The sequence below is a fragment of the Homo sapiens genome, chromosome 2 (assembly GCF_000001405.40).
Source record: "Homo sapiens chromosome 2, GRCh38.p14 Primary Assembly".
In the NCBI taxonomy this organism is placed as follows: domain Eukaryota; kingdom Metazoa; phylum Chordata; class Mammalia; order Primates; family Hominidae; genus Homo; species Homo sapiens.
Genome location: NC_000002.12, coordinates 23,405,840 through 23,427,803, shown reverse-complemented (window position 1 = coordinate 23,427,803; position 21,964 = coordinate 23,405,840). Strand labels below are relative to the sequence as shown.

The window sequence follows — 21,964 nt, the reverse complement described above, 5'->3', positions numbered from 1 at the left end:
ATGTCACAAAACTGACATCAAGGACCTTGCTCATACACTGACAGGATTTTACATTTTTATCTTAAAATATTTCCCAGTAGGTGAATTACCCAAATTAGTCAATAATAGACCCCAAAATTACTATGTTTAGCCAATTGAGTGTGACACCAAAACGCCTGACCACATGAGCCATCTCTCCCTCAAAGCCATTTTAACGTGACTGTCCGCAGGCGCTGAAAGGTTGCAATTTTGCTGTGATGATGAAATGCCACAGCAGAAGGCCATAAACTAATAAACACGGATGTGGCCACGCAGAACACGCCACCCCTCTGAGCCTCACAGAGAACTCAAAGTTACTGTTAACACCTAGAAGTTTTAAAAAATGTTATTTCCGCCAATATCAATTTTTCATCAGGACACACCATCTAAAGCATGACTTCCCACTGTGAGAGACTTTTCTGGCAGCTCAGGTTAAAGAAGTCATTCAGTAAAAGAGTGATTTTTGACAGATTCATTCATTTCCTGTGGTAACACCGTATTGTTAAGTTCACCTCCATTTTGGTGTAAATATAGAACGCCGCAAAAATATTCAGCCCAGAATGATCAACGTGTGGCCCCCTTTCAAACTGGCTCTTGCACAGTTTTCGGCTGTGCAATTAGCCAGCACCTTCTTGTGGAGTCAGGAGACCTGAGCTCCTGTTAGGTACTGTTTTGGGAAAAAGAGTAGGGACATTCAGAGGCACCATGCAGCGGTCACCTGGGATATGAAATGCCAGATCAAGAGGCCTGGGTATCAGTAAGCAAATCGTTTAATGGCTCAAATCCACATCACTCTATAAAAGAGTGCTATCACTTTTCTGGTTAGAATAAGAAAAGGCCTTGAAAGCAATGTTCTTTTCTGAATGACACATGTGGCTCTGTTAGAGGTTAGATTTCAGGGTGCGTCATGTGTACTTCACCCTCATGGCAGACTGTATCACCCCCCGCTAGAACACAGAAGCTTCCAGAAGAGCTGTCAGCTGAGGCTGGGTCCAGCTGTGCACTGAGACCTTGGCAGAAAGAGCTGGCAACCTGGCCCTTTGCTGTCCCAGTCACGGCTCTGAGTGCTGCACTGGATTCTCGGGCCATACTTTCCATGGGATGTTGACAAACTGCAGCCCATTTAGAGACGTGACTCAGATGCCAAAAGTACATGAAAAGTATGTGTGAGCCAGGGCAGGAGACATTCTTGCAGATTGGGCGTTTATTTGCAGCAGCGGGGAGGGTGTCTTTGCTTCTTTACATGCCTGAAAGGCCTTCCTGTAGCAGGCGGACCAGGTGCGCACTGGGAGACCCCGAGGGGCAGAAAGAACCAGAACTGGAGGGGAAAAGCTGATGGAAGAGGGGCCTCCCCTCAGTTGGGCTAGGAGCTCCTGCTCCTGGAGGTGACCAGTGGCCGCCGGGAAGTCACTTGGCAGGGGAGCCCTGGGGAGCTCATGAGTCAATGATTCCATAAATAATAGTACCTTGGATTGATACATTTGAGGATGGGTTGTGGCAGGTCAACCAGCTGGAACAGATACAAATAAATGTTCCTGCAGGAGGGTCACAAAACACCTGCAGAGCCTGAGTACAGTAGAATGGTTTCTGCTGTTGCGTAAGTTAACCCTCTGCCCTACTCATCCCCTCCTCCCCGCTTCCCACAGCCTTCCAGAACCCAGTTGTCCCTCCCAAGAGCCTTTCCCATGACCCTGAGGCCATCTCCCCACCTCAAAGGCACTCCCCAGGCATGGGAAGGGTGCAGTCATCCTCTGTGATCAGTATCTTTGAAATGGCACACACCCTTGTCCCAGAACACTGGAAGAATGCACACATGGGAGCCTGGGAGAATGTATACACAGCATGCTCTTGGCCACCCTGAGGCCCTGGGCGGCCTCTTCCCACCTCTCTGGGCTTTGATTTGTGCCCTATGAAGAAAGAGACCCAGCCTGGATCACTATTGTCCTGTGGTCCTTCCAGTGCTCACAAATGGTACAAGGAACAAAATTCCACCTGGCTGCTATTGTTCTGCCAAGTCATGTGACAGCCAGTTCTCAGAAATGATGTCGCCTGCACCCAGTACACCCAGTCTAATCTAAGGCAAGCTGGCAAAGCAGCTTAGCGGGGATCAGCCAAGGGCTGCTCCTTTCGGGGCTGCAGTCTGGGGGGACACTGGCTTCCTTTCATCTGTGTCTCCAGCTCACTCCCTATCCCCACACCAGGGTAGGACGCAGGCAGGGGGCTCACCCTGCTACCTGCCCAGCGTTGCGTTCTTTGAAGGATGAACTCAAAGGCAACACTCCTAAATGCCCTCACCTCTGGCTAGCTTTTGGCATTTGCTATGGGACCCTGGTCTGGCCGGCCCTGGAGAGAGAGGTATTTGCTGGCGCCCAAGGAGGAAGCCATACATTCCTTAGCAGGCGGGGACTGGTTGTTCCCCACCCTCACTTCTCTCCCCTTCTCCAGCTCCCTCCTGAAATCCCTGGGCTTTGTGTCTCTAGATCAGCATTTCCAATTCTGTTTTTGACTAATGAACTCCTTTCACAGTAATCTATAATTTCACAAACCCCCTACAATTAAAAAAAATCATTTTATCATTTTTGCATGGCTTATGGTAAAAAAGATTTTTAGTTAAATATTTTATATGAGTATATTATTCAAGGATTATATTAAATGAGCATTAAAAGACCATTTTTTAATAACGTTCATTATATATAAAGACACATTTCAACATTTTCCCATTTAACGTTATACACAACATTTCATTTCCTTTAAATTAGTTGTGCAAGGAAAGACTGATTTGTTGACAAATAAAAAATGACATTTTGGTTTGGGGACCAACATATCTAAAACATAATTGAAACTTAATTATGTGCATCAGCTTTAAAAATAGATAAAAACTGCTTTTGTGACCCGATCGTTAGAATTCGTGCATTTTTGAGCGTAAGGAAAATCAACTGCAGTGTTTTAGTAATGTTCAAATGTTATCTAAATGATGAGATAAAGCGAGATTCGGAGAGAGATTTATAAGTCCTTCTTCCAAATAACACATTGCTGGTAATAATTTTTTCTAATCAATAAAAGGCAAGCTGGTTAAATTATCTCTGTATTATCTGCCCCCCACACCCTTCTTTCTTCCTCTCATTTGATGTACTAAAGACATTTAGATGACCTATATAAGAACTTGGATCAGATAGATGATCACAACTTATGGATCTGGTAAAAACAACCTTGAGGCAAATTTGCAGAATTATCATTCTTAGGCTCCTCATTAACTTGGGGTGGCTCCACATAAATGTTTTTTATGTTTCCTGTCTTTGTCACTTTTTATAGCCAAAGCGGTCCACTTTGGTTATAAATGAAAGCATAGATGACAAATAATAGAAACAATTTAACAGTGTAGAGCAGTCAAAGTGAACCAAGGAGATAAACCAAATGGTGACCGAGTCTGATTTCCGTTCGCCATGCATTCTCTCACAGGAAACATGCACACGCAAATGCACCCGCCCACGCACACACATGCACACGTGCACACTCAGAGGCTCCCAAAGTTCCATATTAGGGGAAACTATGTAAGGAATTATTGGCTGACTTTTACAATAGGTAATTTAAATCTGATGCATTTCCCACCTTTGATAGCAGTAAGCCCCAAGCACTTGTTCTAGAAGTATCGGTTCTACCCACCGTTCCTCAGAGAGGAGTGGTGGATGGTGCTGTTATTACAAGAAAAGGAGCAAGAGCCCCACTGTCCTTCAGGGAGCCACGTGTGAAGAGGCAGCACCTCAGGGCTGTGCTGGGTGTGACAGGTGGACAGCTGGGCAGGAAGGGAGAGAGAGCGGATGCTCCAGCGAAGCCACTAAGGATGGTGAATGGGGTCGGGGAGAGATTGGAGCCGTGCAACCTGTGACAAAGCTCCCTGCTCGTCTTCAGGGAGAAAGACACACTGCTGCTGTTTCATATGTGTGGTGGAGGAGCCTGGCCTATGCGGACACATCGTTGTGCTGGGGTTACCTGGCTAGGACACTCCAGGATGGAGAAGGAGCTCAAGGGGAGGCCCCGGGGCACCAGCTGAGGCCCAGGAGGACCAGCGAGATCCCACACCGCACCCCCTGAGCCCATGGAGAATGGAATGGTGTTCCCACAGGACCCCCGCCCGCCAGGCTGAGGCTAGGCCTCTCTGACTGACCCCATGGCCAGCAACAGACCCGCCAAGTCGTAGGGGAATGACGCACTCCAGAAATCACAGAGGCCATTTCCCTTTGAGAGAAACACCAGCCCAGAGCTCTGCTTTAAGTCGTTTGAGAATCTGAGAGGACAAGGCACGGACTGTGACACTGCTTAAGAAGTTCTCAGAGAGGATTTGAATGCAAATGCAGACAAAGCAGGGGACAGCCCGCGCAGGGCAGCTCTCAGGGCAGGGCGGAAGGGACCCCTTCGGTGAAGAGAGAAGACCCTGGGGTGGGAGGCACGGCCTGGGGAGGTCAGGCCCGGGAGGTCAGTCGGCCAGGCTGACCACGCAGCAGACGCCTCTGGTGGCCCCAGAATTGCCCTGCAGAGCCCGGCCCTGGACAGCAGCCGGGAGAACCATCCAGGCTTTTCTGTTCGCAGGGAAAAAAGAACAGTAAGCGGATGAGTGAAAAACACTTCCTGTGACCAGGAACTTCCCAGGGACCACCTGCGGGGCCCGCCAACCCCACTGTCCACGCTGAGGCCTGCGGCTCCCCGCCACGGCTCCATGACAGCCAGGCCCTGAGGCCCCGAAGGGCCAGTCGGCAAGACCCATTCAAGGGCTGCTTTTGTTGAATGACTTGAGTTTGCATTTTCTAAGCAATAGGGGCATAAATGGCTTGCTGGCATTTCACCAACAGAGGTGTGGGCGAGTGACTGGATCCCTCGCAGGCTCAGCACTGAATGGGGAATTCAAGGCCTCCTGGAGGAGCACAGCGGCATCCATCAGGAGTGCAGAGCACAGCCCTTCCCACCCACCTGCACATGCAGACTGCACAGACACACGAACACACACACAGGCACACACACAACACACAGAGACACAGACACACAGACACACACGGGCACTGCCCGCTCACCTGCACAGGCGGACCGCATGACACCCAGACATACACACAACACAGACAAAGACACACGGACACACACACAGGCACATACACAACACAGACACAGACAGGGACACACACACAGGCACACAACACAGAGACACAGACACACAGACAGGGACACATACACAGGCACACAACACAGAGAGACACAGACACATGGACACACACAGAGACACACATAACACACAGAGGCAGACACACAGGGACACACAACACACAGACACAAAAAGACACACAACACACAGGAACATACAACACACACAGGCACACACACAACACAGACACATAGGCATATGAAAATACAGAGACACACACAGACACACACACACAAACACAACACACAAAGACATACACAGACCCACTGGCACATGTACACACATAAGGAAACACAAAATGCACAGAGACACACAGATACATAGGCACACACAGACACAGACACATGAACACACACACAAACACACTACACACACAGACATAGACACACTGGCATACAGACACAGAGACACATAGATACACAGATACACAAAGAACACACACTCACACAGACACACACAACACACAAAGACCCACCCATACTGACACACTCACACAAACATACAGACAGCAAAGGGAGACACACTGACACACACAGAGACACACAAACACATGAACACACACAGACATAAGACATATGACACACAGATACACTGACAGAGACAAACACATGAACACACACACAACATATGACACACACAGACACACAAAGGCAGACACACTGACTCAGACACAGAGGCAGATAAACTGACACAAACACAGACACACAGATACACACATACATACAGAAATACACATTCACACACAGACCTGGTCTTTGGAGCCAGAGATGTACATACACACAGACAAATGGACACACACACAGATGTATGAACACATATGCACACAGACACACACACACACATGAACACACACACATACACACAACACAGAGACACACTAACAGACACAGTCACACATACACAGTCACACACACAACATATAACACACACACACAGGTTCACACACCAAGACACACAGGCACATGAACACACACTCAGACACACAAAGCAGACATGCCGACACAGACACACAGACACACACAGCTACAGACACACACACACACACACACACACACACACACACACACACAATCTTGTCTAAACCTTCCTTCCTGACATTCAGGACAAGCAGAATGACTTTGTACCAGAAATCCTTCACTTCTCCCCTCCAGGAGCAGCCACCCCAAAAGAGGAGGAGAGGAGAGGAGAGGCAGAGACGGCCTCCACTTCCCTGTGCTCTGTAGGGAGGCCCTACTGGGCCCCCAGCCCAGCCTCCGGCTCTGCCCTGACCATGTGATCTTCAGGAGCAGACACCCCTTCAGCAATGGACAGACCACAGATCACTACAATCCAGGCCATGCCGGGAGACACCACAAGACAGGTGCCAACCATTGTCTAGCATGTGACAGACCAGGAGGACTGCAGGGGCTCAAAGGACCTGGAACAGGTGGAAGAAACATTGAGTGGAATTACAGGGTGGGCTGGAGCCTTGTCTACACTACTGAGCGAGTCACCCTGCCTTTCTGAGCCTCAGCTTCCCTCTCTGTAAGGAGGGGACACAATGATACCTACTTCCCAGAAGGTTGCTGTGAGGACTAGTGTGCGAAGATGTTAATGAAAGCCCCTGGCCTGGCGCCTGGCCAGGTCTCTAAGGTCTCTGTTGACTGATAAAGGAGGAGGAGGAGGCAGCCAGGGCTTCTGGGAGGGTGTGAGATTGATGCTCGGCTTTGAAGGTTGGGTATAATTTGGGTGGGGGGGTGGCGGAAAGATGAGTCGTACATGTGCCACTCATAGTGACTGCCCCACCCAGAGGCCCCGCTGACAGATGGGCCTCAGCAGTGCCATTTCTGGAAAAGGGTGGACGTGGCTGGGAGCAGAGATGGCCCCAGACCCAAAGGCGGCCAGCACAAGGTCCAGCAGGCACTCTGCAGACACCCTGGCACCAGGAGCTCTGGCAGGTGGGGCAGGGGCAGTTAGCTAAGCTCACTGGACTCTCTGCCTTTGGAATTTCTTGCCAGAAAATACACACGATCTATCAGTTGACATCAGGAAGAAAACTAAGAAAGGTGCGGCAGAATCTGCTCAGAGGGCAGCAGTCGCTTTGTGAGCAGGGCCCTGAGATGAAGACGCATGGAGGACTCCAGACAGCCCGGTCTCGGGAGCCAGCGGGCCTGTGTTCCTGTGGGATTCCGCCTCCCGTAAAACAAGCCCCATTCCTTGACATAGCTTAAGTGAGTCTCTGACCCTTTAGCTCAACGGGCTGCACGCAGTGAGAATTTCAGGCAGGAGGAAGCAGTGACGGGATCGGTGTGGACGCAGCAAGGAAGGAGAGGAAACAGGGCTTCGAGGGACGGCCACAAGGTGGGCGAGTTCCAGCTGTAGACAGCTCTGAAATGGCTGAGGGATTGTTCTTATTGGATAGACGATGCGGAGTCCGTGAGGGTCGCTGGGCAGGAGGGAACAGGAGGGGACACAGGTACAGTGATCTGATGGTGGGCGAGGCCAAGGGTCACCACATGCTGACGTAGGACCCCCCGTGCCGGCCACACAAGCAGCCTGTGTCTCCGTGTGTGGGGAAACCATGTTATTCTGCAGGCATTCCACGAGTGAAAGCACTGGACGCCCTTATCTAACCTTTGTGATGTGTTACATGACAAGGCCTCTGTGGCTCAGTGGGGAGAAGGGAGTGGTGAAGTCAGCCAGCCAGTCAACAGCCGAGCTGGGACAGGCAGCCTAATCCTGGAGTAATGACTGGCCCCAAGTCCCTTCCTCTCAACAAATGACCTATGAGCCAGGAACAGAATCGCCTGAGTGGGGAAAAGGCCAGGCTGAGAGACCAGCCGCACCCCAAAGCGCAGCCCACGGGAGCCCTCAGACCCCAGCCCCACTGCGACACGGGCCTCAGCACTGAGCCCAATGCCAGACTCCTGGTTAAGGCCACTGTTATCCTGAGGACTCATTCCGCTCGACATTTTTCAGGGAAAGGGCAATTAAAAATCTATTCTGAATAGAGCGAGGACATACTTTCAGAATGAAATTGAGAAGATGCCCTGGAAATAACAGAGCATCCAAGTCCACAGTGATTAAAGAGATGAGTCAAGCCTAGCGAGACAGGGACAAGGAGGAAAGTCACATGTGTACGTGAGTGCAGTCACCCCGGCTGTGGGCTCCCACCGACAGCGCGGGCCACAGACGGCCCTGCAGCTCCTGTGATGGCTGTGCCCTCCCCAGGTGGGACCCTCCAGCCTGGGGAGCGCCAGGACAGACCAGGAGCCTTTATCTGGCCTCCTTCACTGGCTCAGAGGTAGCAGAAATGACTCAAGAGAGGGAGAGAAACAGAAGGCAGGGGAGCGGGACAGTTCTGGCCAGAGGGCGGGGCCAGTGTCTGCAGAGTTCAAAATTATAAGTCACAAATGTGACCTTATGGAAGCTCTTCTTTTTGGAAAAATCATACTGGTCTGGCAATCTGGAAGCCGAGTTTTCTGACTTGGCCTGTTTTAATTTAGTCAGTAGGACAATTTACTAGTATCTGTGGTCTGCAACTCCAGACTCTAAAAGACACCAATGGGGCGTGTGACGGGGCAGGAGTTGGAGGCAGTAATGAATCCTAACAGTACTAGGAGAAAGACAAAGCCTGTTCTTTACCTATAGATTCCTTTACCATGGAAAGTGCCATCTGGCACCTTGTGGAACTCATGTGCCAATAAGTCAAGCCTAACATGGGCACTAAGGGGCAGGGAAGGGGGGATCAGGATTGACGAAGTGCATGCTGTGAGTCAAACACAATGCTCTGTAGTCTTTCTTTTTTAATCCTCACAGTAACCCCAGCGTATTGGGTAAGGTTATCCCTGACTCACAGATGAAACAGCTGAGACTCAGAGGGGTTAAGTCACTAACAAAGTTCATAAGCTGTGGCCCCAGCATCCCTGGGCCCCCGGTTACCATCACTGCTGGCGTCCAGGCTTCCCTTACTACCCTCCCCCGGTTACTGTTTAGCACAGGGCTAAATCTAATCAACAAAGAAAATTCCTGTGTCAGCAACAGTCCGTGGAGGAGAAAGTGAGCATTAACAAATGCCTGATTACTGTAAACTAGCTCAGAAATGCCAGGGCACTAAATCATGCTGAAGCCTAACATTTCAAAACCAAAGCACTGGGTCTGCAGGTCCCTCCGAGATGCCTATGTGGAGCCTACATAGGCCACAAATTGCTTGGACGGGGGTGGGAGTCAGGAAGGATCTGCCCCCAGACCCAGCTAGGGATTGCCAGCCTTGGGACACCCTCCCAAGGGGGGTTCCTTACAGTGCCCATGCCCACTCCATCACCAAGGGCTGACAAAGCAACAAAGACCAAGGATCAGGCCCTGGCTCCATGGCGGGGTCCAGGTAGGATGGGGTGGGGAGTCAGGCAGGAGGGCAGGTGGAAGCACAAGGCCTCTTCAGTTTGGAAAGCCCACTGCCGCAGTGAGAGGGCAGGACCCCACAGTGGAAGGTGTGTCTGGATTCATTCACTCTTTCAACAAACACTTACAGCGTGTCTACAATATGCCAGGGACTGTGCTGGGCTTCGGGGACAGAAATGAGCAAGACAGACCCTGCCCTCAAGGAAATCACAATCTAGCTGAGGGGAAAGATGAACAAACTACTCCAGGGCGATGGACAGAATATGACAGGAGACGATGTTATGCTACAGGGCACCAAAAAGAAAGAGACCCAGATGGTCTCTCTGACCACACTGGACACAGCCTCAGTAGAGGGTGGGGGTCGTGGTGGCAGTAAAGGTTCTAGGGAGAAGAAACTCAAGGCTAAAAATCCAGGCTGAACAAGCCCACGGTGTTGGGAGAACTGCAAGCACTTCAGCAGAGCTCTAAAGGGTCTATGACAGGAAAAGAGCAGAGAAAAGTGAGGCTGGAGGGGAGAGAAAGGTGAGGCTGGAGGAGAGACAATGCAGTGATAAAAATGAAAATCCCAGGGTCAAGGCTGCCTGGGTACAGAGCCTCCATCCACGACTGACTTGCTCTGTTCACCTGGACAAACGACTTCATTTCCGTCTGCTTCAGTGTCTCCATCAGGAAAGTGGGGATCGCGCAGTGCGTACTGCATGGCACTGTTGCCAGGATCAAGACAAGGTACCTAAAGCTCGAGGTTCGACGTATGTAAGTTTGGTGACATGTGCTAAGCCAAGGAGTATGTGAATTGTGCTCACCTGAGTGTAAACGCTTGCAGGCAGATGATTCACTTCGGTCACTCCATGCAGCCACACATGATGGCCACACAACAAACGTGTATCCCCAAATGAGATCTCTAAGCCATGGCTCTAGCAGAAGGCTGTCAGGATAGAATTGGTGCCCTGGCTCTGGATGGAGAATGAATGGGCAGGGAAAAGCTCAGAGGCCAGGAGATGAGTTAAAAGGTTGCTGTCAAATCCCTTAAGAGAGGATGGAGCCTGAACCAAGCAGGGGTCTTGGTGGCAATGGAGAGAGAGGACAGAGGCAATGAAGAGAAGAAGGCTGATGGCCCCGGGGAACAGCTCTATGTTGGGGGTGGAAGGAAGAGTATTCAGGAAGGCTCCCAGGCTTCTGTCAGGGCCATGAGATAGGAACCCAGGTGGAGGAAGAGATTTGGGCTGGGGTTGGGAAAAGAGGCTTGAGATCAGCTTCAGAAGGGCTCAAATGGAGGTGCCTGTGGAGTATCCAGGGGAGATGGCCCTTAGTGAGCTGGTGTTATGGGTCTCACAGTCAGCAGTGGGGTCAGTACTGAAGATACGGATTTGGGAACCATTGTTTTAGGGAGCCCATAACAATACTGAAGAGAGAATGTGTACAGTGAGAACAAAGATGGAGCCCCAGGAGGGGCAGAAAAAGGGAACGTGGCCAGGAAGGCCACCATGTTTATTTAGCTGGCAACACACTAGACACCCTCTTTACCCGATAGGCAGCAATGGATAAAATGCAGCTTCTCCAGGAAGAGTTTCAGTAAATCATAGACAATGGATCTATTGACAGAGAGATGAGAACAGCTCAAAAGACAGGGTGATGTGAACCTCACAGGCAAAAAAGGGCTGAGTCCCTCCAGCCCAAGACTGCACCACCACATAGCATCTCTTACATTTGCATGAAGAGACCCTGGACTTGAGTCCCGGTTCTGCCACCAACTCACTGCCCTGGTGACCTTGGTGTATCACTTGCCTTTTGCTAGATGAAGAAACTGAGGCATGGACCTGCAGAGGACAACACAGCCTGTCCTGTCCATTCTGAGAGAGGAGGGAGGGAGACAAAGAGGGAAAATGCCCACCAAACCGCAGCTGCAAGACATCCAGTCCCATCAGAGGGCGGGGCTTGGATTACCCTAGGTGTTTTTCTAGAAGTGGAGCTCTGTGAGGTCAGGGCTTCTGAACTTGGGATGCATCAGTGTTTCAGAATACAACAGCTTCTTTCCAGCATACAAGTGTTAGCAGAGAAGAAATACACAAGACTCCCCAGGCTCTCGGGATGTTATCACTGTGCCCTCAGGTGCTTGTTGCCATGAAGGTGTAACTCCAGCAGGCACAAGAACAGATTCTAAGCCACTCTGCATGATTTAGGATCTGCCTCTAGAAAGTTGTTTTGATCAATGTCGACCCCTCAACCCAATAGTGTCACCAATTTCTTATCAGCTATTGATTACACACTTCACCCATGTCTTCTTATTCACTGCTCACTGCAACTCTGAGCAGTGAGTATTACTATCTTTTACAAAAAAATTAAAAAATATATACAGGGTGTGGTGGTGCACACCTGTGGTCCCAGCTATACAGGAGGCTAAGGTGTGAGGATCGCCTGAGCCCAGGAGGTTAAGGCTGCAGTGAGCTGTGATCGTGCCACTGCATTTTAGCCTGGGCAACAGAGTGAGAGTCTATGTCAAAAAAAAAAATAAAAAGACTACCTTTAGATCTAAGGATACATAAACAGACTAAGGGGATTTAAAAAACAACAACAACAAAACAGGACCTCAGAAACCTTCATGCAAAGCTACTTGATTAGTAAGGGGCAGCTCTGGGATTGAGGCCCAGCCTGTCTGGCACTAAAGTCCTAGTCTTTTGGATTTCATGGACTACTAAACCTCCAAAACTTGTGGGAACAAATAATAGCTTTCCAACTTCATATTCTGCCAAGTAACAATAATGCTTTAAACATCAAACAACCTAATCACCTTCGCTTCACAAAAGAAAGAACGTTTTTAAAATTCACACATGCACAGACACTCAAAGAGACAGAGAAGAAACACCTTTCCTTCCTGGGCAGGTTCTCAGCACCTGAGCCCCTGCCTTGTGTCTAGGAAGCTAAGACACAGCTAAGCCCCTGCCTTGCTGTGGAAGCTAAGCCCGTCTTGCATTATAGAAGCTGAAAATGGCAAATTCACTTACCTCCCTTGCTCCACCAACAGGACGCACCGACACACACTTTATATCAGAAACTGGTGACCCATAGGAGTGGGGAGAGCGCAGAACTGCAGCATTTGCAGCACCCACTTTTGGAAGCTTGGTGGTGCTGTTCTGGACCAACTGGAGGTCTGACCAGCAGGGCAGCTGTGGGGCCTTGTGGGGCCTGATCTGGGTATGACTGTTGTCATTCCTGGCCATGTGGCCTCTGAGCCTGGTTCTCCAACTACCCTGGAGACTCTGGGCTGACTAATATCCTTTTAATAAATTCCTTTTCTGTTTCAATTACCCAGGATTGGTTTCTGTTGCTTGCTACAAAGAATCTTGGATGATAGAACACAGTCTCAGAATAAGGACAGCACTTTAAATGCAATGCATTTAGTTCTATGAAAAACTCACTGCATGGTGTCAGTATTTTCCTCTGTTTGCTGCAGACCAGTCTGAGACCGGCAAGGATCTGTAGACGGGCATTTGGGGCTATGCTATGTGGCTTCCCCCATTGTCAAGGGATAACACACCAGAATGAGAAGCCCCATCATGGGTCACTCCCTGGCTGAAGGATCTCCAGTGGGTCCCCATACCTTTGGGGGAAAGAGGCTCAAATTGAGCTCTCCAGCCCCATGGGCCCCTCCTGCTCTCCCTGTGTGACCTCTGTACTTCAGCTGACATGCTTTCCACCCAGTCTGCAGGACCCAGCCAGCCTGAACCCACTCCACACCTGCTTCCCCTGCCACTGGGGGTCTCTCCTACTCACTGTCTGTTAATTTCTTGCTTTTAACAATTTCCTTTCTGAGACGGGATGGAGACATCTCTTTCTCCCACAGCATCCCTCCCACCCCGCCGCACAAACACATCCGTCTGCGCGGCCCCCACAGCCCCTAGTGCCACCCACTCTGTCTGCCCAGTCTCCCTGAACCTTCCCTGCAGGGGGCCGGCCCCAGCTCACAGGAAGCTTTGCACATTCATTTGAGATCCACTTTGTCTCCTCTCGCTCAGTGAGATGGAGAACAACTCATCTCTGTCCTCCACAGGAGGATCCTTCAAAGACAATTAAGTCCCTCCTCAGCCTCTTTCTTCTGAAATGAAATTATCCCTAATCCTTTATCCTGTCTTCAAGAGTTCTGTTTTCCAGTCCTTTAATGGAATGGACTCCATCTGGGGAACAGCACAGCTAGGAGGGCTAAGAAGCTCAGGCATGGGGTTCACAGACGTCTGTGAGAACAGCAGCCTCTTTTCCAATCATTTGCCAAGTGAAATTACCTTGTGAGTGACCAAAGACAACCCCGGGTCACTCTCTCTGTGCCTGATGCCACCTTACCCCACAGCAGGGTGCACGGGCCTCCCACCGCACCCGTGGGGGAAGAAGGGACACATTACAAAGGAAGGGCGGGAGCTAGGGACAAACTCAGGGCCATCGATGCCACCTTCAGAGCACCGGGCTTGGTGGGGACAGATGCACAGCTTACAAAGGGAACAAATGGGAAAATGAACAAACATTCCAAGACAAACACTGCAGGGCCATGAATCTGTGGTTTTTTCCATGAAGTCAATGGTTTCTTTCAAGGTGGGGAGCAGGTTGTTCTTTCTCCCGTCTCTCCCCAGGGGTGGAGACTCATTTTGGCATTAGAGAGGCATTGGGAGAGGGAAGAAAAGGAGGTGGGTCTTAATAAATGAGCGGATAGTTACATGAATTTTCAATTAACCTCTGCCCGGTGATGGCAGTCCTGGCTCAGTGGAGTAGAAAGGATGATATTATGAAACCCACGTCCATGTCTGGAGTGACCATATGGTGACACCCGTGTCCATGGGTCTGCAGTGACCAGCCCTCTGCCACAAAGAAAATGGATCACACAGCATGTGGGCAGTCAGGATGGAAATGGCTGGCCCCATGGTTGGCTTCAGCATGGAGATCAGCTCATCTGGCTAACTCAGTGCCAGCACGACTCCGCTGAAGAATTATCTTCAGTACAAATGATCCCCAATGTGAGGTCGAGGAGCTGCCTTGATCCTTTTAGTAGAAAACACCTTGTATCTCAGCTACACCCTGCGAGTTCACCGGGCCCAGTGCCTCACAGTGCCATCAGTTCATTACATGCATCCTGGGCCTCACCTTTCCACCGGATGAAATAGAGAACTGCAGGCATTTTTTTGAAGGCAAACGAGAAAATTGCCCAAAGAACCAAGTAATCTTCAAATGTCAAAAACATCTAGTGCTTGAATCACACTTAAGTAAGAGCATAGGAATTTGGCAAAGTGACAAGCAGTGGTTTACAACATGAAAGGTGACTTGGAAGCAGTCAAACAGAAGCAGAGGGAGAAGGATGCCTGCGCTGCTGAACCAGCCATCTCCCTCCAAGGCCGACACCTGCCATTTCCCATTTTGCGAGCTTCTTGCGGAGGAGACAAGTGGTCCTCATAGCATCCCGTGGACCACCCTGGCCAGCTACACCCAGTCTGTCAGAGGATTTCCGCAGTGTTGCCTTTGACCCCTGTGGAACTTTTTTGTCCAGGCCCAGGTGCTTGAAAGACCTTCCAAGATGCTTCTTGTCCACAGTAATCTCCACTCCCTCTGGTTCTCACAGCTCTGTCCCCAGCTCCAGCGGTCCCAGGCTCTCTCCTTCCCTCAAGGTAGTGGTCCTGGGGTCCTCCCACCCCTCCTAAGCCTTGGAGAACATTCAGTCCACAAGGCACCATTGGCCCATTTAGATGCACTGGTTCAAGTTTGAGCCCTGCAGCCCACCTGCATATCCAGCATGGCTCATGATTCTCTCCTCTTCCTTCTCTGTCCCCCAGTGCCCACTTCTCACTGGACTGAGTATTCCAGAAAGAGCTGGTGAGGGCTTGGTCAAGCAATCATAAACACTGCTGGGGCCTGAATTCAGAGCAATGGCATGAACTTGTTTGTATTAGTTCTCTGAAATTCCTCAACCATTGACACACCCTGAGCAGATATTAGGCGTGATCTGGCCACTCGACAAGCCCACAGCACCCCAACCCTGGAACTGTCCAGCCCAGTGGTCTCAGGTCAGAGATGGCCCTTCCATCCTACCTCTACCGCACCGCCCCCCCCCCCCCTTCACGCACACACATTTTTGCAACATACATACCCGACATACTCCAAGCATGGAAACCACCTCACATTCCCACAACACTTCCTCTGACACATCTGTTTCTTCTGCCCCAAATGCTCTCACCACCCTTTTCTCAACCTTTGCTACATTTCCTAAGAAGCGTAGAAGTCAGACATGCCCAAAGGAACTAAAAGTCATTCCAATGACAACATGAGTCAGAAAACATCCATGACGAAAATTCTGGCTCCTCCAGAGAGCTTTTAGTTATTAGACTGGGCCCATGCAAAGAACCCTAAGTGACTCAGATTAGAAACTTATCTCCACTCTGCCAAAAGAGCCCGAGGAGACCCTCAGAACCAATCTTTCAATGCTACTGATGCTGGGAGCTGCCATGCCCACATCTGGGAAGTGGAGAAGGCAGAACCAGCAGTACCTGTTAAGATTCCAGTGCAAGCTTGCATTTCCCAATGCAAGAAGAATAAGGATATTTTTGTCTCATCTCCCGACAGCGGGAATGGATGAGGCTGAGAAAACTCTTGCGGCACACACACAACAGAAGGAAATCTGGCCGACCTCACAACTCTCTTCTCGAGGTCCTGCCTTATTTGGATGTTACCTACCTTGGCAGCTTAGAGGTCATAACCCATCTCCCTCTCTCTACCCCCATGACCCATTACCTCGCCCTTCCATCCTACCTTGACCACACACACACACACACACACACACACACACACACACACACACACAATTTTTGCAACATACATACCCAATATACTCCAGGCATGGGAACTACTTCACATTCCCACAACACTTCCTCTGACACATCTGTTTATTCTGCCCCAAATGTTCTCACTACCCTGTCCTCAACCTTTGCTACATGTCACAAATCCCTAGGCCTTCTCTCACTCCCTTGAACTGCCCCTCCCTCACCTGGCCTCACAGGAGATTTGGACATCCCTATATTTCAACATTTGTCATATCGACATTATAACCCCATCTTGTGCCTCCACCATCTTTATCCATGCCACTGTGCCTGGCACAGAGCAGGTGCTTAATAAACATTTATTACATGAATAATTAGATAAATGATCTTAAATTTAAGCACGTAATTTAAGGGGCAAGGTATTTGAAGGCTCATTGTTCAGAAATGAGGGGCTGGGGGAGGAAGGGAAGGCTCTGGTCAGAGGAGGGAGGGAGCAGGAGAGACTTCCAAGTTCCATCTCTGTACTCAAGAGACTCACTCTGAAGGATGGGGCCTGTGAGTCTGGAGAGTAAGCAAGAGTTTACAGATGGGACGCTTTAGACGTGTGGTTTCCCGTGTTTACGTCTCTTTTATTACCTCCATTCTTGACTCAGCCAGCACATGGTGGAGGATACACAGGAAATGCAATGCCCTCCTCCACACCTGGGAAGTACTGTCTTTGGAAGTCAGAGTGTCGTCACAAGCAGCAGCAGCAGCAAGAGGTCTGAAGAGGACTGCGGACCAACAGCTTGACCCTTACTACTAAGATTCTTCTCTCAGAATCTTATGTGGATGATTCCTCGAAATTTCTGTCTCTGGCCCTGATGTCTCCTGTGAGTGAAAGCCAGACCCACACACATAACTGCCTATCTGCCACCACTGCCATGCCTCAGGAGTCCTCACACCCAGTCCTAAACAAAGCTCAGTTTTCTCCAATATACCTGACCCCTTCCACTGTTCCCAGTGCCCAGCACAGCACCACATCCATCCAGTAATCTAGGGGTCACCTTGAGACATCCCTCTCCTTTACTTCCCACCCTCGAACCCCCCACCCCAGCCTGCCCATTTACCTGTCTCCACATGCACCATCCCCTCAACTCTCTCCTGGACTCCCGCAGTCCTCTCCTAACTGTACCCCATTTCTTCTTCCTTAGTGTTTCACAGTGGCTTACCACATGGTAGCCAGGGCTGTCTTTGCAGAATGCCATTCCCTTGCTTAAAAACAGTCAGCCAGTCAGTGCTCTTGCAATAAAGACACAGCATACTTATGCGGCTAGACAAACCCTGCATGGCCTCTCCCTCCTAATTCTCCACTCTCCGCCTGTGCCATGCTCCCCTCTGGTTTCTTAATGCCAGTTTCTCTGACCTTTTCGCATCTCCTTGAAGGCACCATACTCTCTCCTGCACATGTATCTCCTCTGCCTGGAATGCATCATCCCTGCTCCTTCCCCAGCTCACCCTCCCTTTAAATGCTAAGCTTATCATTTCTTTAAATCTCAGATCAGTTCCCCCTACTCCCTGAATCCAAGAAGAGGCGGAGCTCCCTGTAATGGCACTGACCATCTTCCTTCATAGTGTTTATTGCCTTTTGCACTATCTGATAAACATCTGTCTCCCCCACTAGACTGTAAACTCCTTGAGGGAAAGAACCAGGCATGGTTTTGCTCCCTGTCGAGTTCCAACACCAAGCACAGTGCCTGGCACGCAGAAGGCACTCAGAGATTTGCTGAACCATGAAGAATGGGCTTGGGTTCTATTGAGGGAAGACGCACTGCCTTACAGTCTGGCTTCATAGGAGATAGTTACAACACAGAGGAATTGCTGATGGCAACATATTCCTTCCGAGGAAGATTTTCAAGTGGGAGAAAAACAACCTTCCCAAACTGGCATAAAAAGCAAAGAGTAAAAGATGAGTTGTTCGTCCAACGGAGGAAACGCACACCATCAGAACATTCACAAGCCGTCTGTGTGGGGATGTGGGGAGATTCCGCCCCCACCTCCAGCCATATGCTAGGAAGAATCAGGGTAGGAGAAATCCTTGCCTTTCCCATAACTGATAGAAGGCCTTAATCTGGAGAAGATGACAATATAATGTGAGCTCAGTACAGCTGCGGAGAGTGAAGTGCCTAGATATTACGGTCATATTTCTGGTCAGCCTTTCTCTTCTTCTTTGCTCTCTTCAAGGGGTTATCTTTGTGCTGCGAATGGAAAGTCCTTCAGGGATCACCAATGGGGAAAGTGATGTCTGACTGGTTCTTCATACTCACGTTTGTCTGGCTGTGAATGAATTTAAACCCAAGCTCAACAACAACAGGCTCTACCCAATCAGTCTGGGAACGTGTGTCCAGAACTAGCTCCCAAATTATTCTTTATGATTAGCCCCTCACACACCCCCCAACAAGGCAGAGCTGTGAACCCCAAACTCCTATCTGAAAGGTGCTCATCAGAGCTGTCATGGTTGTCTGTTGCTTCAGGGGAGGCCTACAAGGAGGGATTATTGCACACGAACACCGTATGCCCCAAATACATGATGCTACCAGGACTCGGGATTAGAGTCACAAAGAAACTTCAATGTGAAGACACAACGAGAGGCCGTTTTCCTTCAAATTAGAAAAGCTTCTTAAAAATGATAATACAAGCTCTCCCAGACATCCCTGGGTATACAGACAATCTTTTAGTACAATATTCAACATGTTTGAAGGCCTTAAAAAGAGTTCCATCCATCAGAAAGTTCAGTAACCCAGCAAGATACAAAATCAATGTACAAACATTAACAGCTTTTTTATTTGCCAGTAATAACTCATTAGCAAATATGTTGGGACAGAACGATCTCACTCTATGTATATGTAACATATAGGAATGAAGTTTCTAAGAGCAGCACAGAGCTCACATGAAGAAAGCCACAAATGTTTACAGAGAGATATGGAAGTAAACTCAAATAAACACAGAGAGAGCAAGAGTAAATGGAATAGCACATTCCTGAATGAGAAGACTCAATAATGTAGTCCAAATGTCAATTCTTTATAAATCAATTTACGGATCTCATCGAATTCATATGGCTATCATGTAAAAAAAAAACTCAATTTTTTTTTTTTTTTTTTTTTTTTTTTTTTTTTTTTTTAGCGTGAAATGCTTCTAAATTTCCTCTGGGCTATACAAGATATGTCAGACATAGTAGCCAAAAATATTTTGGGAAATAATAATAATGAAGATGATTTGTACTACCAGATTTTAAAACACAAAATGAAAACTTCAGCATTTGAAACAGTGTGGTATAGAACTAAGTTTGAATGAAACAGAATAAACAGCCTGGAAACACCCTCTAGTCTATACAAGAATTTAATGTTATCAGGAGGCCGAGGCAGGAGAATCACTTGAACCGGGAGGTGGAGTTGCAGTGAGTCAAGATCGCACCAATGCACTCCAGCCTGGATGACAAGAAACTCCGTCTCAAAACAACAACAACAACAACAACAAAAAACCCAACAAAGAATTTAATGTATGAGAGGTAGCATTTCAAATCAGGGAGGACAGAAAGATCATTCACTAAACGCAAATGGAAGAATTAAATGACTATTAAGAAAAAGTTAAATTCCGATCATATTTTATAGCAAAATGAGAAAACCTGATAAAAAGTTGAATTTGCAAAATGAATTGCAAAACAATTAGAAGAAAATGCAACTGCGCAGATATCCAAAGCCAGGATGGGGAAGGGCTTTCTAAGCCTAAAAACAAGAGGAAACACTGAACAACAAAAACGTTGATGATTCGTATAAGCAAAGTAAAGGCATCTATACAACCGAGAAACCATAAATGAATTTAGAATTCAAATGACAAACTGAAAAAATATTTCCAACATTATACCAAAAGGTTAATATCCTCTTATGCATAAAGAGCTCTTAAAAATCAATAAGAAAAAAGATGAATATAAATAGAAGGACAAACAGAGGACAGGTACGTCAATACACAGAAACAAATGCTCCAACCCACTGGTAATCAAGGAAACGCAACCGAGACCACGAGATACCATTACTCACCTACCTAACAGACTAAGATTAAAAAAAAATTATAATAGGATAGAATAGGGTAAAGTGAGTATTCACATGCTGCTCCACCTCTGACTTGGTAAATACAGTTCCAGGAATTAATCCTAAAGAAGTAACCCAAAATGTCCACAGATTTGTTCATCAGTATTTCATTGCAACGTTATTTATAGTAGCAAATTACTGAATTATCTAAATGGCAAAAAGGAAACAGTTAAATAAGACACATTAATATAACAGAATATAATGAAACATGGTCTTTTAAGATTGTTTCCAAATGAATAATGACAAGGGAGAAGCAATGCAAGGTTAAGAGGAAAAAAAGCAGGAAAGAAAATGATATATATAGTACGATCCCAATTCTGCTACAAAGTGACAAATAATAGATTCTAAAATGTTAATTGTTTTTTTATCTCTGGGTGATGAAATTTGCATGGTTTTTCTTTTGTTAAAATTTTCCATAAAGAACATTACTTTTATAATTGAAAAGTTACATAATTTTAAAGAGATCAAACCTTGGTAATTCTATTTCTAGAACTCTATGCAAACATGATCTCACATAAGTCTCATATCTACCCCATGAGGTTGGTATATTATCTTCACTTGACATGCACAGATAGAGACCAGGGTGGATATTGTGACAGGCTCAATATTACCCTCAGAGCTGGACCTTGGCAGATGTGTGTGATACCGAAATTGTGAACCAAAATGATATAAAAAGAACTATCCACCAGAGAGTTACAGTAGGAAAAAAAATACATCTGATGGGAATGGCATGCAGGCAGGATGGGATAAATGAAGCCATCCGGAAGTGATGTTTAAGAGTAATTTTCAATTACATGAGGCAATGTGTGTTGTATACTAAAGTAAAAAAGCAAGATGCAAAATTTCATGTGCAACATGGTCCCAACTAATGTGAAAATGCAAAGCAAAAGACTGGAGGACAATATGATAAAATATTAACAATCATCTCTAGATAATATGTGTGTTTTCTTTTCTTTTTTTTTTTTTTTTGAGATGGAGTCTTGCTTTGTCGCCCAGGCTGGAGTGCAGTGGTGTGATCTTGGCTCACTGCAACCTCTGCCTCCTGGGTTCAAGTGATTCTCCTGCCTCAGCCTCCCGAGTAGCTGAGATCACAGGTGCCCGCCACCATGCCCGATTAATTTTTGTATTTTAGTAGAGACGGGGTTTCATCATGTTGGTCAGGCTGGTATCGAACTTCTGACCTCAAATGATCCGCCTGCCTTGGCCTCCCAAAGTGGTAGGAGTACAGGCGTGAGCCACCACGCTCAGCCTAGACAATATATTTATTAGAGATTATTACTTTGTTGTTATACCTGAACATTTTACACAATGGATGTTGCCTTTTACTACCAAAACCTGTTCCACATTAACTTTCAAAAATGTGTATATCACCCACTATAATCCTACAACCCTCTTCCTTACACCTACCCATCCTTTAAGGCCAAGTTCAAAATTCATTTCCCCCATGAAGCCTTCCT

The 21,964-nt window shown here is 48.0% G+C and overlaps 1 protein-coding gene across 1 annotated transcript in view, besides 3 other annotated features; it reads right to left on the bottom strand.

Annotated features, from left to right (window-relative positions):
* The window catches only part of KLHL29 (kelch like family member 29), a 323,428-nt gene that overhangs the window by 280,803 nt on the left and 20,661 nt on the right, over positions 1-21,964 (bottom strand). The gene's annotated exons all lie outside the window — the stretch shown is intronic.
* Positions 1,716-2,216: an enhancer, noted in NCBI's record as "H3K27ac-H3K4me1 hESC enhancer chr2:23648459-23648959 (GRCh37/hg19 assembly coordinates)". NCBI's record gives its function as "activates a minimal SCP1, AML or CMV promoter by ChIP-STARR-seq in naive H9 embryonic stem cells {active_cell/tissue: H9 hESC(naive)}" and the evidence as "EXISTENCE:reporter gene assay evidence [ECO:0000049][PMID:30033119]".
* Positions 6,896-7,730: an enhancer, noted in NCBI's record as "H3K4me1 hESC enhancer chr2:23642945-23643779 (GRCh37/hg19 assembly coordinates)". NCBI's record gives its function as "activates a minimal SCP1, AML or CMV promoter by ChIP-STARR-seq in naive H9 embryonic stem cells {active_cell/tissue: H9 hESC(naive)}" and the evidence as "EXISTENCE:reporter gene assay evidence [ECO:0000049][PMID:30033119]".
* Positions 12,512-12,806: an enhancer, noted in NCBI's record as "tiled region #1613; K562 Activating non-DNase unmatched - State 13:Ctcf". NCBI's record gives its function as "activates a minimal TATA promoter and a strong SV40 promoter by Sharpr-MPRA in K562 cells {active_cell/tissue: K562}" and the evidence as "EXISTENCE:reporter gene assay evidence [ECO:0000049][PMID:27701403]".